Below are 18,542 nucleotides of genomic sequence, written 5' to 3' on the forward strand. Positions count from 1 at the left end.
GGTTCCTGCAGGAGGTGCTTCAGAAAGCATTGTTATCTTGTTGTCACAGGAGGTGACAGCTCCATGTGTGTTACTGTCCCTGAAGACCCTATAGTGAGACAAGATGTGGAGATGAAAATCAGTGATATTGATGATCCTGAGCCTGTGTAGGCCTAGGCTAAGGTAGATGTTTGTGTCTTATTTTTAAATAAAACATCTGAAAGGTAAAAAGAAAAAAAAATTTAAATAGAAAAAAAAGCTTATAGAATAAGAATATAAAGAAGTTATATATATATATATATATATATTTATTTATTTATTTATTTATTTATTTATTTATTTATTTTTTGAGACAGAGTCTTGCTCAGTCACCCAGGCTGGAGTGCAGTGGCGCAATCTCCACTCACTACAAGCTCCACCTCCTGAGTTTGTGCCATTCTCCTGCCTCAGCCTCCCGAGTAGCTGGGACCACAAGTACCCGCCACCACGCCCAGCTAATTGTTTTGTTTTGTTTTTTTTTGTATTTTTAGTAGAGACGGGGTTTCACCGTGTTAGCCAGGATGCTCTCGATCTCCCAACCTTGTGATCTGCCCGCCTAGGCCTCCCAAAGTGCTGGGATTACAGGCTTGAGCCACCACGCCTGGCCAAGAAAGAAAATATTTTTGATTAGCCAGGCATGATGTTATATACCTGTAGTCCCAGCTACTCTGGAGACTGAGGCAGGAGGATCACCTGAGCCCGGGATTTTGAGGTTGTCATGAGCTATGATCACACCAATGCACTCTAGCCTGGGGAATAAAACAAGACTGTCTCAAAAAAAAAAAAAAGAAAGAAAGAAAGAAAGAAGGAAAGAAAGAAAGAAAGAAAGAGAAAGAAAAAGATATGTTTGGTTCAGCTGTACAATGTGTTTGTGGTTTAAGCTGTGTTATTACAAATTACTCAAAAAGCTTTTAAAAATTAAAAAGTCTTCTAAGTTAAAGTTATTGTAAGCTAAGTTTAATTTATTCTTTTAAAAGACTTAGGAAATTTAGTATAGCTTAAGTGTACAGTGTTTATAAAGTCTACAGTAGTGTATAGTGATGTTCTAGGCCTTCACCTTCACCCACCACTCACTCACTGACTCAAGAGCAACTTCCAGTCCTGCAAGCTCCATTTATGGTAAATGCCTATACAGGGGGTAGCATATTTTCTCCTTTATTTATTTATTTATTTATTTTTGAGACAGAGTTTTGCTCTTGTTGCCCAGGCCGGAGTGCAATGGCGCAATCTCGCTCACCGCAACCTCCGCCTCCCGGGTTCAAGCGATTCTCCTGCCTCAGCCTCCTGAATAGCTGGGATTACAGGCATGTGCCACCACACCCAGCTAATTTTGTATTTTTAGTAGAGACGGGGTTTCTCCATGTTGGTCAGGCTGGTCTTGAACTCCCAACCTCAGGTGATCCACCCACCTCAGCCTCCCAAAGTGCTGGGATTACAGTTGTGAGCCACCGAGCCCGGCTTCTCTTTTATACTGTATTTTTATTGAACCTTTTCTGTTTAGATACACAAGTACTGACCATTGTGTTTCAACAGCCTGCAGTATTCAGGACAGCCACGTGCTGGGCAGGTTTGTAGCCGAGGAGTAATAGGCTATATCGTATAGCCTGGGTGTATAGTCAGCTGTACCATCTAGGTTGTGTAAGTACACTCTGTGATGTTTGCCTAATGAGGCACTTCCCAGAACTTATCCCCATGGTTAAGCAATGCATGACTATAAATGAAACATGAATAAGATCAAGATGTAAATGGTGGCTGGGGGCAGTGGCTCACTCCTGTAATCCCAGCACTTTGGGAGGTGAGGCGGGTGGATCACTTGAGGGCAGGAGTTCGAGACCAGCCTGACCAACATGGCGAAACCTTGTCTCTACTAAAAATACAAAAATTAGCCAGGCATGGTGGCACACGCCTGTAATCCCAGCTACTTGGGAGGCTGAGGCAGGAGAATCACTTGAACCCGGGAGGTGGAAGTTGCCATGAGCTGAGATCACGCCACTGCACTCCAGACGGGGCAACAGAGCGAGACTCCATCTGTAAGAATTAAAGAGGAAAGAAACATGAAAAGCAGCTCAACAGTCAAAGACAGGTTTATTTTGGAAAATAAACTTGAGAGGGGCTTCTGGCCATTTTTGGTCAGGAGCGCTTTCTCTTATAGACTAAGAGTATTTATTGGTTTTAGGGTGAGGGAGCTTATCACAGGCTCAGAATGTTTCTGCATGAGGGAGAAGTTTATTTTGGGGTTGGAACGTCTCTAGTTGGACGGGAGGTTATCTTGAGGCTGACATCTCTCTGGCCTGTGGGGAGGTTATCTCGGGGATGGCATGTCTCTGGTCGGGGAGGTGTTTATCTTGTGGTTGGAATGTTTCTGGCCAGAGTTGTCATTTGTGGTTTATGGCCATGCTGACCTTAGCCATTAGGCTGATGCCCTTTGGATTTAGGTGGTTTTTGATCAAGGGGGACTTTAGAAGGACAGTGCTTGTCCAAGACGGCGATCCTCCTGCCCTGTCACCATCTCCCCCACCACAAAGAAAAAGATGTAAATTGAATCTGAACCTGTATTCGTTCCCTATTGCTGCTCTAAGAAACTATTGGTAAACACAGTAGCTTTGGGCAGGGCATGATGGCCCCGGCAGGCTGAGGCAGGAGGATGGTTTTAGCCCAGCGGGTGGAGGCTGGAGTGAGCTATGATCGTGCTGCCGCACTCTAGCCTGCACAACAGAGTGAGACCCTGTCTCAAAAAATGATAATAATACAAAATAAACATAGTCGTTTGAAAAAGCACCAATTTATTATTGAAAAAGCACAAATTTATTAATGCTGAAGATTGGAAGCCCAACACAGGTCTTACTGGACTAAAATAAAGAGGTCGACAGGACCGTGTTCTTTCTGGAAGCCCTAGGAGAGACTCCATTTCCTCACCTTTCTCAGCATCTAGAGGCTGCCCACATTCCTTGGTTCTTGGTCCCTTCCTTCATGTTCGAACACAGCAACAGTGGTTGAGTTCTTTCCAGATGGCACCACTCTGATATCCTCTTCTGCCTCCCTCTTCCACGTTTAAGGATTTATGTGATTACACTGTGTCCATCTGGATCATGTCCCACTTTTAAGATCAGCTAATTAGCAACTGAGGGTTTTTTTTGGCTGGGCATGGTGGCTCACGCCTGTAATCCCAGCACTTTGGGAGGCCAAGGCGGGTGGATCACCTGAGGTCTGGAGTTTGAGACCAGCCTGGCCAACATGGTGTAACCCCATCTCTACTAAAAATACAAAAAATTAGCCAGGCGTGGTGGTGGGCACCTGTAATCCCAGCTACTCGGGAGGCTGAGGCAGGAGAATTGCTTGAACTTGGGGGACAGAGGTTGCAGAGAGCTGAAATCGTGCCATTGCACTCCAGCCTGGGAAACAAGAGTGAAACTCCATCTCAAAAAGAAAAAAAAAACAACTGAGGGTTTTTTCTTCCTCTTGACATCAACCGTGTCTTTTCCAACACCACTTCTCCAACTCTCTGATGCCAGCTTGGTGTCCTACAATTCAATTCCTTTCTGACACTACCTGGAGTTATTGTGTGACTCCACAGTCACACAAGACTGTCCTTAGACACCAAAGAAAGGACTGGGTTCCCAGGTTAGCCTAACTTCTGCTGATTGACCTACAAAGGAAAGTTCCTACAAAGAGGTTTCAACTACCTCATTACCCCAAGGTTAAATAATTTGCTAGAATGACTCACAGAACTCAGGAAAAGCTGTGCTTACTCTTACCGTTTATTATAGAGTACAAATGAACAACCAGATGAAGAAGTACCCAGGACAAGGTAAGTCCCGAGTGCAGAAGCCACTGTCTCAGTCAAGATGGGGTGCACCACCCTCTGGGATGAGGATGTGTTTGCCAACTTGGAAGCTCCCTGAACCCCATCATTTAGGGGCTTCTATGGAGGCTTCAGTCCATAGGTTTGACTGTGGCCACTGGTGATCAGCTCAATCTCCAGCCACTCTCCCTTCCCTGGAGGTTGGGGGAGGGGGTGCAGGAAATGCTGATCTTCTAATCAAGCTTGGTCTTTCTGGCAGCCAGCTCCCACCCTGAAGCTAAGTACAAGAGTTGCCTCACTAAAACAAAAGAGGCTCTTAACACTCTATTGCTCAAAATTCCAAGGGTTTAGAGCTTTGTGCCAGAAACCAGGGACAACGACCAAATATCTTTCTTGTTATTCCACAGCAATATCAGTTCCATCTACAACCCTGATTCCCCTTTGCCATGAAAGGTAACACATTGGCAGGGCCTGGGGAGTTGGACATGACTATCTGAGGGGCACTATTCTGCCTGCCCCAGCATCTAACATTAAAGATAGCAGCTCAGGAAGCTTGGCAGGGTGGCATTATGGAGTGGGGATTGCAGGGCTGATTAAACGACCATAATCAGGCTGGGCGCCGTGGCTCACGCCTGTAATCCCAGCACTTTGGGAGGCCGAGGCAGGCGGATCACCTGAGGTTGGGAGTTCGAGACCAGCCTGACCAACATAGTGAAACTGCCGTTTCTACTAAAAATAAAAAATTAGCCGGGCGAGATGGTGGGCACCTGTAATCCCAGCTACTTGGGAGGCTGAAGCAGGAGAATCACGTGAACCCGGAAGGTGGAGGTTGCGGTGAGCTGAGATCGCACCATTGCACTCCAGCCTGGGCGACAAGAGCCAAACTCCATCTAAAAACAAAAAAACAAACAAAAGACCGTAACCAAAGTTACCTTCTCAGGGCAATGGAGACAAAATAGAAAGGGAGCTCTTGGAGGAAGATGCCGTTTAGGGCAGTGTGGGCTGTGGTCTGCCCTCTCCTGCTCCTCACTCACCACTGTTCGCTCTCGCACAGAAACAAGTCGGCCAGGAAACCGCGCAGCAGCCACAGATTTCTTTTTTCTTTTTTTGAGACGGAGTCTCACTATGTTGCCCAGGCTGGAGTGCAATGGCGCGATCTCGGCTCACTGCAAGCTCCGCCTCCCGGGTTCAAGCAATTCTCCTGCCTTAGCCTCCCGAGTAGCTGGGATTACAGACGCCCGCCACCACATCTGGCTAATTTTGTATTTTTAGTAGAGACGGGGTTTCTCCATGTTGGCCAGGCTGGTCTCAAACTCCCGACCTCAGGTGATCTGCCCACCTCGGCCTCCCAAAGTGCTGGGATTACAGGTGTGAACCACCGTGCCTGGCAGCCACGGATTTTAAAGATACTAAAACACACCCATGGAGCCAGAGGTGCCAATTCACCAATTAGAATCACTCTAAGGAGCAGCAAGGTAAAATCCCTGGAGAAGGTGTGTGCTGACTTGATCAGAGGGGCAAAGGAAAAGAATCTCAAAGTGAAAGGACCAGTTCAAATGCCTACCAAGAATCACTAAAAGAAAAACTCCCTGTGGTGAAAGTTTTTTTTTTATTTTGAGACAGAGTCTCGCCTGTTGCCCAGGCTGGAGTGCAGTGGCATGAGCTTGGCTCACTGCAAACTCCGACTCCTGGGTTCAAGCAATTCTCCTGTCTCAGCCTCCTGAGTAGCTGGGATTACAGACATGCGCCACCATGCCTGGCTAATTTTTTGTATTTTTAGTAGAGATGGAGTTTCACCATGTTGGTCAAGCTGGTCTCGAACTCCTAACCTTAGGTGATCCACACGCCTCAGCCTCCCAAAGTGCTGGGATTACAGGCGTGAGCCACTGCGCCCGGCCAGTAGTGAAAGTTCTAAGACACCGGATCATTTCCAGATGATAATCTGCAAGTGACTCATTGACTTGCACGGCCCTTCTGAGACCGTTAAGGAATTTACTTCCATGAATATTGGGAGGAATCTGTGAGGCATTCACAAAGCAGAAATAATAATGATATAGGCCAGGCATGGTGGCTCACACCTGTAATCCTAGCACTTTGGGAGGCTGAGGCAGGCGGATCACTTGAGGTCAGGAGTTTGAGACCAACCTGGCCAACATGGTGATACCCCATCTCTACTGAAAATACAAAAAAATTAGCCGGGCATGGTGGCACGTGATTATTCCCAGCTACTCGGGAAGCTGAGGCAGGAGAATTGCTTGAACCCGGGAGGCAGAGATTGCAGTGAGCCAAGATCACGCCACTGCACTCCAGCCTGGGCAACAGAGCAAGACTTTGTCAAGGAAGGAAGGGAGGGAGGGAGGGGAGAGAAAATGGAGCTGTGATTGTTCTGTTAGATCATGCTCTGTAATTAATAGATGCCATAATTCCAAGACCCAGTAAATGCATTATGAAAATAATCATGATCTGCATTAGTTTTACATAAACATGCAAGAGTCTAATTCTGTTTTTTTTTTAATTTGTTGTTGTTTTTGAGACAGGGTCTCACTCTGTCTTCCAGGCTGGAGTGCAGTGGTGTGATCACAGTCACTGTAGCCTCTATTTCCTAGGCTCAAGCAATCCTCCCACCTCAGCCTCCCAAGTAGCTGGGACTACAGGCGTGTGCCACCATGCCCTGATAAAGGAGTCTGATTCTAGATACCCACACTTCCCCTGCTACCAAACTGCCCTCTGGTTACGATGGGGAAATTCTGAAGCACCTCATTTCTACTCCTGTCCTCCTCCCCCTTCCCCCTCTCACCTTGTACCACTCCTGACACTGACAGCTATTTGGGATGTGGGAGAGGGGCACAGATGGAGACATCCTCCCCCAAGCTGCATTCAGTCCTGTGATTTAAATGACCAGCCTATCAGTGATTGGTGGATGGAATTTATAAGCCATGAGCATAAAGTCACTGCACGCTCAGGTGATTTGTAAACAGTCTCTGGGTGGAAAAAACACATTTGTTCCAAGTGCTTTTCCGATTCTCTTGCTCAAGAACAATCATCACAGAAGTCTTCTGTGAGCAAATGTGGGGAGGCGGATTCCCCACACACCAAGCAAGCAAGTAGTTCTGCATGGACACCCCCTGGGTGTCCTCCAATTCAACTCAGTTCTGACACTCTGTACCTGGAGACAGCATCAGATCCCACAGGTTGAGGCCTCGGTCCCCAGGACTGTCCCACTTCTGATGTCAATCAAAAGCCCCAGGCTGTAACCTGTGCTTCTGGCAGACCAGATATGAATTGGGGTTCCCACAACCCCCTCCGTGGGTTTAATTGATTTGTTAGGAGGGCTCACAAAACTCAAGGAAACACTTTCCTTATGTTCACTGGTTTATAGTAAAGGATATTGCAAAGGATACAGATGAAGAGCTGCATAGGGCAAGGCATGTGGGAAGGGACGTGGAGCTTCCATGCCCTCCCCAGGGCCACCACCCTTCAGGAACCACCACATGTTCAGCGATCTGGAAACTCTCAGAACCCAGTCCTCTTGAGCCTTTTATGGAGACATTATTGAATAGGTGTGATTGAGGACAACTGTGCAGAAATGCGATTGGACAAAAGGGGAATGATCTAATAGTAACAGACTGAGAAACCCAGCAAGGCTCAGCTGTTCAGGTCTTTCTTGCCCTCTCCGCGGAGCATTCCTTCCTCTAGGGTGTGGGACAGGACCCTGTCTGCAATGAGGGTCTTATGACCCACAATCAGAATCGAGTCCCGCCTTGGGCAGGAGAAATTCAGAGAGATTCTGTTTCCCGAGGCCTGCTTCTGAGGCCTAAAGACTCAACATTATAAGGCCAGGCATGGTGGCTCATGCCTGTAATCTCAGCATTTTGGGAAGCCGAGGCGGGCAGATCACTTGAGGTCAAGAGTTTGAGACTAGCCTGGCCAATATGGTGAAACCCCATCTCTACAAAAAATACAAAAATTAGCCAGGTATGGTGGCTCATGCCTGTAATCCCAGCTACTCCAAAGGCTGAGGCAGGAGAATCGCTTGAACCTGAGAGGCGGAGGTTGCAGTGAGCCAAGATGGCACCACTACACTCCAGCCCAGGTGACAGAGCAAGACTCTGTCTCAAAAACAAACAAACAAACAAACAAAAACTCAACATTATAACAAAAGACTGTAATAAAGGATATTATAAGGGAGAGTCAGGAATGGTGAATGAAAACCTATAAATATGTAGGTTTCTTCAATGTAGAAAAACTGCACAATGATAATGTCGTTTCACAATCGGTCAGTAAACGCTGAAATCCCTCTAAGTGTCAAATGTGCCTATGCATCTTTGTTACAGATACCCAGTCATTCATTCCAAATACAAAAATTTTGACAGCGTGAGGAAATATGGTTCAGAAGGAAAAAAAGTTTGATCATGTAACTATGATATGATTTACTATTTCCTCAAATCTAAGACATCATGAACTGTAAGATGAACCACTATTTAAGGCACATTAAGAAAGAAAAAAAAGGATGCACATCGCCTAGGGTCAGACTCACTGCAATGCATGTCTTAGATGAAATAACCCAGCTTTAAATAAAGAAGGGCGGCCAGGCGTGGTGGCTCATGCCTGTAATCCCAGCACTTTGGGAGGCCGAGGTGGGTGGATCACGAGGTCAGGAGTTAGAGACCAGCCTGGCTAACATAGTGAAACACTGTCTCTACTAAAAATATAAAAAATTAGCTGGGCGTGGTGGCGGGCACCTGTAATCCCAGCTACTTGGGAGGCTGAGGCAGGAGAATCGCTTGAACCTGGTAAGTGGAGTTTGCAGTGGGCTGAGATTGTGCCACTGCACTCCAGCCCGGGCAACAGTGCAGGACTCTGTCTCAAAAAAAAAAAAAAAAAAAAAAAGGGCTATTTTCTCCAGAGGAGAGTAAGGATCACAGATGCGTTGATATGTGAATTATTGGCACATGTATTAGCAAACCTCTGTTATCTCACAGCTTCTGAGTGTTTGGAATTCAGAAGTGGCTTAGCTGGGGCACCTGGTGCAGGTCTTTCCTGAGGTCGCAGCTAAGCTGTCAGCCAGGCTGCAGCCACCTGGGCCTGGAGGCCCTGCCGCCACGCTCATCCACATGGTTGTCGGGAGGCCACGCCGCCGTGCTCAGCCTCATGGTTGTCTGGAGGCCCTGCCGCCGTGCTCATCCGCATGGTTGTTGGGATGTCGCAGTTCCCCCCAGCTGCTGGCTGGGTACCTTGCTGCTCCGGAACGGACTTCTTGCCAAGTGGGCCTCTCCATTGGCAGCATGAACGTCTCCCCAAGCTGGCAGAAGCCACAGGCTTTTATAGCCCCATCTCAGAAGTGACACACATTACTTCTACAATATTCTACTGGCCACACAGACCAACTCTGATAAAGTATGGGAGGGAGCTACACAGGGCATGAATATCAGGAGGCTGGGATCATCGGTTATGCTATGGAGAGGCTGGTTACTGCAATACATATTACAAGAGGGGAAGGGAACCTGAAGCTAATTTGTTTTTTGTTTGTTTGTTTGTTTGTTTTGAGACAGTGTCTTCCTCTGGCACTTGGGCTGGAAGGCAGTGGCACGATCATAGCTCACTGCAGCCTCAACCTCCTGGGCTCAAGTGATCCTCCTACCTCTGCCTCTCAAAGCACTGTGATTACAGAAATGCGTCACCACATTTAGCTAATTTTTTAGAATTTTTTGTAGACACAGAGTCTCACTATGTTGCCCAGGCTGGTCTTGAACTCCTGGGTTCAAGCCTTCCTCCTGAACTGGCCTCCCAAAGTGCTGGAGTTACAGGCATGAGCCACTGTGCCCAGCCTGCTTCCAGTTTAGGTTAACATTTATTGAGCACTTACTAAAGCTTAGAAGGGTTAAGTAAACTATCCAAGGTCACAACAGCTAGTAAGGGTGAGAACTGGTACTTGTGACTTTTGACTAATACACTACCCAGCCTTTGTGTCAATGTATATTATTATAACATGTCAACCACTGAAATTTTCTTTTCTTTTTTTTTTTTTTTTTTGAGACAGAGTCTCACTCTGTTGCCCAGGCTGGAGGGCAGTGGTGCGATCTCGGCTCACTGCAACCTCCGCCTCCCGGGTTCAAGTGATTCTCCTGCCTCAGCCTTCTGAGTAGCTAGAAATACAGATATGTGCCACCATGCCTGGCTACTTTTTTTGTATTTTTAGTAGAGACAGGGTTTCGCCATGTTGGCCAGGCTGGTCTTGAACTCCTGACCTCAGGTGATCCACCCGGCTTGCCCTCCCACAGTGTTGCAATTACAGGCATAAGCCACCACGCCTGGCCAACCACTCAAATTTCAGAAGAAAAATTTGAAAACCTCCAAGATTCTTTATATTTCTCTACAATTGTGTGTGTGTGTGTGTGTGTGTGTGTGTGTGTGTGTGTGTGACAGGGTCTCACTCCATCACTCAGGCTGGAGTGCAGTGGCATGATCTCAGCTCACTGTAGCCTCAACCTCTCAGGCTCAAGCAATCCCCCCCCACCTCAGCATCCTGAGTAGCCGGGACTACAGGTGCACACCATCATGCCTGGCTAATTTTTTTGTGTCCCCTGTAGACACAGGGTTTCACCATGTTGCCCCAGCTGGTCTCAAACTCCTGGGTTCAAGCCATCCACCCACCTCAGCCTCCCAAAGTGCTGGTGAGAGCCACCGCACCCAGCCTGTTTCTTTCTTTCTATCTTTTTTGAGACGGAGTCTCGCTCTGTCGCCCAGGCTGGAGTGCAGTGGTGCGATCTCGGCTCACTGCAAGCTCCGCCTCCCGGATTCACGCCATTCTCCTGCCTCAGCCTCCTGAGTAGCTGGGACTACAGGCGCCCGCCACCAAGCCTGGCTAATTTTTTGTATTTTTAGTAGAGACGGGGTTTCACCGTGTTAGCCAGGATGGTCTTGATCTCCTGATCTCGTGATCCGCCTGCCTCTGTCTCCCAAAGTGCGGGGATTACAGGCGTGAGCCACCACTCCCGGCCAGCCTGTTTCTTTACTATTGCCATCACCACTAATTCAGAGAAAGTACTCTCTTGTGTTTTAATGCCTTTAAAGTTTTAGTTTATTTAATTTGTTGTAGTAATTATGTATAATTATAAAAATATCTAGTGTAATGGACTGACTGTACCTTAGCAAAATAAATGCAAAAAATATGAGCATAGCTGGCTGCCAAAACACTTGCTCAAACAATAGTAGGTATCATTTTGAAAAATAGACAGAAGGGGCCGGGCGCGGTGGCTCATGCCTGCAATCCCAGCACTTTGGGAGGCCGAGGCGGGTGGATCTCCTAAGGTCAGGAGTTCGAAACCAGCCTGGCCAACATGGTGAAACCCTGTCTGTACTAAAAATACCAAAAATTAGCCGGGCGTGGTGGCAGTGCCTGTAATCTCGGCTACTCAGGAGGCTGAGGCAGGAGAATTGCTTGAACCTGGGAGGCAGAAGTTGCAGTGAGCTGAGATTGGGCCACTGCACTCCAGCCTGGGCAACAAGACCAAAACTCTGTCTAGGAAGGAGGGAAGGAGGGAAGGAGGGAGGGATGGAGGGAGAGAGGGAGGAAGGAAGGAAGGAAGGAAGGAAGGAAGGAAGGAAGGAAAGGAAGGAAGGAAGAGAGACCAGCAGTGGCTCATGCCTGTAATCCCAGCAGTTTGGGAGGCTGAGGCAGGCGAATCACAAGGTCAGGAGATTGAGACCATCCTGGCTAACACGGTGAAACCCCATCTCTACTAAAAATACAAAAAATTAGCCGGGTGTGGTGGCAGGTGCCTGTAGCCCCAGCTACTCAGGAGGCTGAGGCAGGAGAATCGCTTGAACCTGAGAGGCAGAGGTTGCAGTGAGCTGAGATGGCGCCACTGCACTCCACCTGGGTGACAGAGCAAGACTACGTCTCAAATAAATAAATAAATAAATAAATAAATAAATAAAAATTAAATAAAATAAAAAAGGAAAAGAAAAATAGAAGAATAAAGTAAGGACCTTCAAGAAAAACTGGAACAATTTCCTCTGAAGAGCGAATAGTCTCAGTTGATAGTATTTAAAATTATTTTTATAACTTTACAAAATAAATATAAGACAAAAAGATTGCTTTTGATTTTAGCACAGAGATGCTCCAATATTATCTCTAAAAACTGTCAAGAGTAGAGGTGTAATCACATTCCGTCTATGTAGCAACAACTGAAAGTGCTAAAACTTCCCAACTCCGTGAGCAGGAAGTAAGCACAGAGAGTCCTGACTCCTCTGTGATCCAAGTGCTGATCACTTCCCAGACATCATTTGAACTCACTCTACAAAGAAGCAGGTCTGTAGTTTATGAAAGTAGTTCACTAGGCTGGGCGCAGTGGCTCATGCCGGTAATCACAGCACTTTGGGAGGCCGAGGTGGGCAGATTACGAGGTCAAGAGATTGAGACCATCCTGGCCAACATGGTGAAACCTGGTCTCTACCAAAAATACAAAAATTAGCCAGGTGTGGTGGTGGGCGCTTGTAATCCCAGCTACTAGGGAGGCTGAGGCAGGAGAATGGCTTGACCCCAGGAAGCGGAGGTTGCAGTGAGCCGAGATCGCGCCACTGCACTCCAGCCTGGGCGACAGAGCAAGACTCCGTCTCAAAAAAAAAAAAAAAAAAAAAAAACAGAAAAAAAAGAAAAGAAATTAGTTCGCTAGTTTCCAGTTCATGTTACACAAAGCAATTTTCTTAAATTCCTGAACTGGAGCCATAACTGTGGAAACACTGCAGTCACATCCCAAGGAAAATCAAAGATGTAAAGTTACTAACTGTTGGAACAAACTGGCTCCAGCTGTAACCAAGCAAAGAAAGTAATGTGCCCTGAATCAACTTACTGTCAAATCCTCTCCTGAATTATTAGCAGGGCATGGTGGTGTGCACCTGTAGTCCCACCTACTCGGGAGGCTGAGGCAGAAGAACTGCTTGAACCCAAGAGGTGGAGGTTGCAGTGAGCCGAGATTGTGCCACTGCACTCCAGTCTGAGAGAGCGAGACTCCATCTCAAAAAAAAAAAAAAAAAAAAAAAATTCCTCCCCTGAGCAGGCAGAGCTGGCGAAGTTCAGCCATGGGCAGAGCAGGCTTGGGCCCAGGGATTGAAAGCCAGGGATTACCAGGCCAAGAAGTCGAACAGTCCAGACTACCACACAGTGAGGGCGCTTCCCAGGGGAGGGGTGGAGGGGCCTAGAGTGCAGGTGTGGGACCATGGCTGGGGAGGAGCAGGAATGCCGGTGCCAATGCAGGGCTCAGCAGAAAGCAACCAGATGGTTGTCAAGAAAATAATTGATCCTGAAGACAAATCCTAGACCAAGTGTGCACACTCTAAGCCCAGGTCCTGATTCTACCCTTTCCAGCTCTCCAGAGAGCAGAGGCCCCAACAGTCTGGCCAGTTCTGAGCCCGGCACCCAAGCACCCTAAGACCTCTGAGCTATCTGGCCAACCTCCCTCCCCCAGGGCATGTCACTGTCTTCTGCCACAATTTTGGAGCTTGCAAAGCTTGCTAACAGAATATACACAGAGGTATTTCACTCATGGGTCTTGTTCTAGATGCCTGGGAGATCATAGTGTAACCTGGAGACAAGATTCCCAGTAGATGTTTTTTGATAATTAGAAAACAGAGAAAGTCAGGCTCAGTGGCAGATGTCTGTAGTCCCAGCTGCTCAGGAGGCTGAAGTAGGAGGATCATTGGAGGCCAGGAGTTCAAGGCTGCAGTGAGCTATGATTGCACCTGTGACTAGCCACTACACTCAAGCCTGGGCAACAGAGCACATTCCCATCCCTAAAAAAAAAAGAAAAAAAAGAAAAAAAAAAGAAAAGGGAGAGGAAGAGGAGAAGAAGAAGGAGGGGGAAAGAGGAGAAGAAGAGGAGGGAGAATGGAAAGAGCAAAACAAAGAAAGAAGAAGAAGAAACAAAAGGGGAAGAAGGAAAGAAGTCAGTGACATCAGTTTGAGGGAAAAGCGCACACACGCACACGCACACACACACACGCACACCACTGTGATTGCCCTAAAGAAATTAGCTACTTTTTGGCCAGGCGAGGTGGCTCACACCTGTAATCCCAGCACTTTGGGAGGCCGAGGCGGGTGGATCACCTGAGGTCTGGAGTTCGAGAACAGCCTGGCCAACATGGTGAAACCTCATCTCTACTAAAAATACAAAAAATTAGCTGGGCGTGGTGGCGGGCACCTGTAATCCCAGCTACTTGGGAGGCTGAGGCAGGAGAATCGCTTGAACCCTGGGGGCAGAGGTTGCAGTGAGCCAAGATGGCACCAGTGCACTCCAGCCTGAGCAACAAGAGTGAAACTCCGTCTCAAAAAAAAAAAAAAAGAAAGAAAGAAATTAGCTATTTTTCAACTCTATTATTTAAACCCTCCTTAGGGCATCCTTTGGAGTGACAGCAGACAGTGACTGGGATAACTCTGCATATTTTGGCTTAAAATTATTTTTATCTACTGAAAGGAAAACTAAATTATACTCTGAAACATAATCTAATGACGGAGGGTCTCAGAGCAAATAGCTGTTAGTCGGAGATATTGAAAGTGATCAGGTTGTGAACTCACTTGAATCGAGCCTATTACCTCATGAAATTATAAAATGATTAGCAATGTCCCCAGCAGATGGCGCAAGTGGCCCCTCTGCTGTGATGGGAAGCCAATCTGTTTCCTCTTCATATGACAATTGAACAGTAGATCCTAACCAGGTAAGGTGTTTAGTTAGGAAAGAAATCATTCATGGGATTCCAAGAGAGGCTAACTAGGAAAGACAAAATCTGGAGGCTTTTTAATTTACTTCTCATGTTAAACAGTCTAGGAGCATGTATTGACCTCACCAGTAATATGGTTCCATTCACAATATTTTTAGCTCTGAAAAAGAAAATTCTCTCATGACAGAGTTTTAGATTAAGTCCCAAAGGATGACAAAGTACCAACAATTAGAATATCTGAAATGTTTTGATGAGCTGGTGGAATTAGTGAAGGGCTCATAATGAGAAGCTCAGAGCTGTCTCCTAACAAATTACAGGTAAACGGTTTCTGAAGGAAACTGCAGGGAAGGGGATAATGATTAAAGATTATTGGAGTCAGCCAATGTTTCTGCTGCTTTGCTAGTTACTTGCAAACAAATATGATGTTCTTGCTCACATTTTGAAGCTCTCGGCTACGCATTTTTTACGAACAAGCAAACATTTGCATTTCTAGGCCAGAGGCAGCCCACGCTGGGAAGGCAGGGGACGGAATGTGTTATCCATCGAATAGTCTTCGAAAGTGCAAAAGAACTTTATTAATTAAAGCATGTTAAATATCTGCCTTTATAACTTCCAAAGAAACAAGAATTGAGAATGTTCAGGTCAATGAATAATTTTGTGCAATAGCTGTCCTGCCAATACCTACTGCCTTCCATCCCAAACACCCATCAATGTTTTAACCCTCTGTAGTCTGCTTCTTATATCCAACTGCCACTAAAACTTTATTTTATTTATTTATTTATTTATTTATTTATTTATTTATTTATTTTTGAGACAGAGTCTCACTCTGTTGCCCAGGCTGGAGTGCAATGGCGCGATCTCAGCTCACTGCAACCTCCGCCTCCCGGGTTCATGTGATTCTCCTGCCTCAGCCTCCTGAGTAGCTGGGATTACAGGCGTGCGCCACCAGGCCCAGCTAATTTTTGTATTTTTAGTAGAGACGGGGTTTCACCATGTTGGTCAGGCTGGTCTTGAACTCCTGACCTCGTGATCCGCCCGCCTCGGCCTCCCAAAGTGCTGGGATTACAGGAGTGAGCCACCGCACCCAGCCCCTATTTTTTTTTTTTTTTGACTGTCTCTGTTACCAGGCTGGAGTGCAATGGCATGATCTCGGCTCACGGCAACCTCTGCCTCCGGGGTTCAACTGATTCTCCTGCTTCAGCCTCCCAAGTAGCTGGGACTACAGGTGCATGCCACCATGCCCAGCTAATTTTTGTATTTTTAGTAGAGACAGGGTTTCACCATGTTGGCCAGGATGGTCTTCATCTCTTGACCTCGTGATCTGCCCACCTCGGCCTCCCAAAGTGCTGGGATTACAGACATGAGCCACCACCCTGGCAAAACTTTACTTTTTTTTTTTTTTTTGAGACTGAGTCTCCCTCTGTCACCCAGGCCAGAGTGCAGTAGCACGATGTTGGCTCACTGCAACCTCTGCCTCCCAGGTTCAAATGATTCCTGTGCCTCAGTCTGAGTAGCTGGAATTACAGGCGTGTGCCACTATGCCTGGCTAATTTTTGTATTTTTAGTAGACATGGGGTTTCACCATGTTGGCCAGTCTGGTCTCCAACTCCTGGCCTCAAGTGTTCCACCTGCCTAGGCCTCCCAGAGTGCTGGGATTACAAGTGTGAGCCACTGCACCTAGCAAAACTTTACTTTTTAAATATATTTAAAAATATAAATTAATATATGTTAATTGCAAGGAATTTGAAAACACTGAAAAGTATAAAGAGAAAAATTTGTAGCTACCTGAGGTGTTCTTCGCTGCATAAAGAAAGACCACAGGCTGGGTGCAGTGGCTCACGCCTGTAATCCCAGCACTTTGGGAGGCTGAGGCTGAGGCAGGTGGATCATGAGGTCAGGAGTTCGAGACCAGGTGGCCAACATGGTGAAACCCCATCTCTGCTAAAAATACAAAAGTTAGCTGGGTGGTGGCGCATGCCTGTAATCCCAACTACTCGGGAGGCTGAGGCATGGGAATTGCTTGAACTCAAGAGGTGGAGGTTGCAGTGAGCCCAGTTTGCACCACTGCACTCCAGCCTAGGTGACAGACCAAGACTCTGTCTCAGAAAAAGAAAGAAAGAAAGAAAGAAAGAAAGAAAGAAAGAAAGAAAGAAAGAAAGAAAGAAAGAAAGAAAGAAAGGACCACAGCATTGTAGTAGAGTTTAATAGACACAAGGCTGGCCATAACACTGGGAGATGGAATTGGTACTCAAATCATCTCATTCAAAGCTCGTAGATTAGGGGTTTTTTTCTTTTTCTTTCTTTTTTTTTTTTTTGAGACAAAGTCTTACTCTGTCACCCACTGGGCTCACTGCAACCTCCACCTCCTGGGTTCAAGCGATTCTCCTGCCTCAGCCTCCTGAGTAGCTGGGATTAGAGGCACGTGCCACCACATCCAGCTAATTTTTGTAGCTTTTTTGTAGTTTTTAGTAGCTAATTTTTGTAGTTTTTAGTAGATACGGGGTTTCACCATGTTGGTCAGGCTGGTCTCGAACTCCTGACCTCGCGATCTGCCCGCCTCAATCTCCCAAAGTGCTGGGATTGCAGGCATGAGCCACCACGCCCCATCAGATTAGGGGTTTTTCAAAGGCAGTTTGGGGGAAGCAGTGTTGGGGAGGGGGGGTGCTAGGTAACAGGTGCTTGCTGCTGATTGGTTGGGGGCAGAGATGAAATCATAGTGGGTTGAAGCGGTCCTCCTGTGGGCTGGTCGACTCTAGGTGCAGCCACAGGAGCAAGGGTTGTCATCCAGGTGGAGCCATGGGTGTCAGACATGCAAAAAACCTGGAAAGATATCTCAAAAGGCCAATCTTCAAGAATGGTGTTATTTGGAGGAGTAACTGGGGATGTATCATATTTTATAACATTCTGAATAACTTAGCAGGACCCAGCCTCCTCTCCTCTCTCAGCGTGATGGCCTCCAATTAGCTTTACAAAAGCAGCTGAGTTTTGGGCAAGGCCTGTTATTATTTAAACTGCAGCTGAAAGGTCTTCCAAAGTTAGCTTAGTCCAATAATCTGGGAATAATTAAGGGAAAGGCAAGATGGAGGTTAGGCTAGCTTAGTTTACCGTTATAATTTTCTCATGGATATAACTTTTGCAAAGGCAGTTTCAAGATTACCCATGAATGAGTAGATATGGGCAACACATACTTCATTATTATTATTATTATTATTATTATATATTTTTTGGAGACAGGGTCTCACTCTGTTGCCCAGGCTGGAGTGTAGTAGTGTGACCATGGCTCACTTCATCCTTGACCTACCAGGCTCAAGCAATCCTCCCCAGTCAGCCTCCCCAGGAGCTGGGACTACAGGCACATGCCATTACACCCAGCTAAATATACATTTAAAAAAATTTTTTTGTTGGGACAGGGTCTCACCATCTTGCCCAGACTGGTCTTGAACCCCTGGGCTCAAGCAATCCTCCTGCCTTGGCCTTCCGAAGTGCTGGGATTACAGTCATGTAACCCCACTGTCAGAGGTGTGTGGACCAAAGCAACTCCATCTTGAATAGGAGCTGGGTAAAATGAGGCTGAGACCTACTGGGCTGCATTCTCAGACGGTTAAGGCATCCTAAATCACAGGATGAGATAGGGGGTCAGCATAAGATACAGGTCATAAAGACCTTGCTGATAAAACAGGTTGCAGTAAAGAAGCCAGCCCAAACCCACCAAAACCAAGATGGCCACAAGAGTGACCTCTGATTGTCCTCACTGCTACCTTCCCACCAGCGCCATGACAGTTTACAGATGCCATGGCAACATCAGGAAATTACCCTGTAGGGTCTAAAAAGGGGAGGCATGAATAATCCACCCCTTGTTTAGCATTTCATCAAGGAATAACCATAAAAATGGGCAACCACCAGCCCTCGGGGCTGCTCTGCCTACGGAGTTGCCATTATTTTATTCCTTTACTTTCTTTCTTTTTTTTTTTTTTTTTTTTTGAGACGGAGTCTCGCTTTTTCG

The 18,542-nt window shown here is 46.7% G+C and overlaps 1 long non-coding RNA gene across 6 annotated transcripts in view; it reads right to left on the reverse strand.

The window, feature by feature from the left end:
• LOC101927511 (uncharacterized) overlaps positions 1–18,542 on the reverse strand; it is a 37,635-nt gene that overhangs the window by 13,068 nt on the left and 6,025 nt on the right. Inside the window, exon 3 of one of the 6 annotated variants that reach the window (XR_001753361.2) lies at positions 3,759–4,710. The exons of the other annotated variants lie outside the window; for them this stretch is intronic. This is a non-coding gene — a long non-coding RNA (uncharacterized LOC101927511). Of the gene's footprint in view, positions 1–3,758; positions 4,711–18,542 lie in introns of those variants that run through there. 6 annotated transcript variants of the gene reach the window in all.

Source organism: Homo sapiens, chromosome 18 (assembly GCF_000001405.40).
Source record: "Homo sapiens chromosome 18, GRCh38.p14 Primary Assembly".
Taxonomy (NCBI): Eukaryota; Metazoa; Chordata; class Mammalia; order Primates; family Hominidae; genus Homo; species Homo sapiens.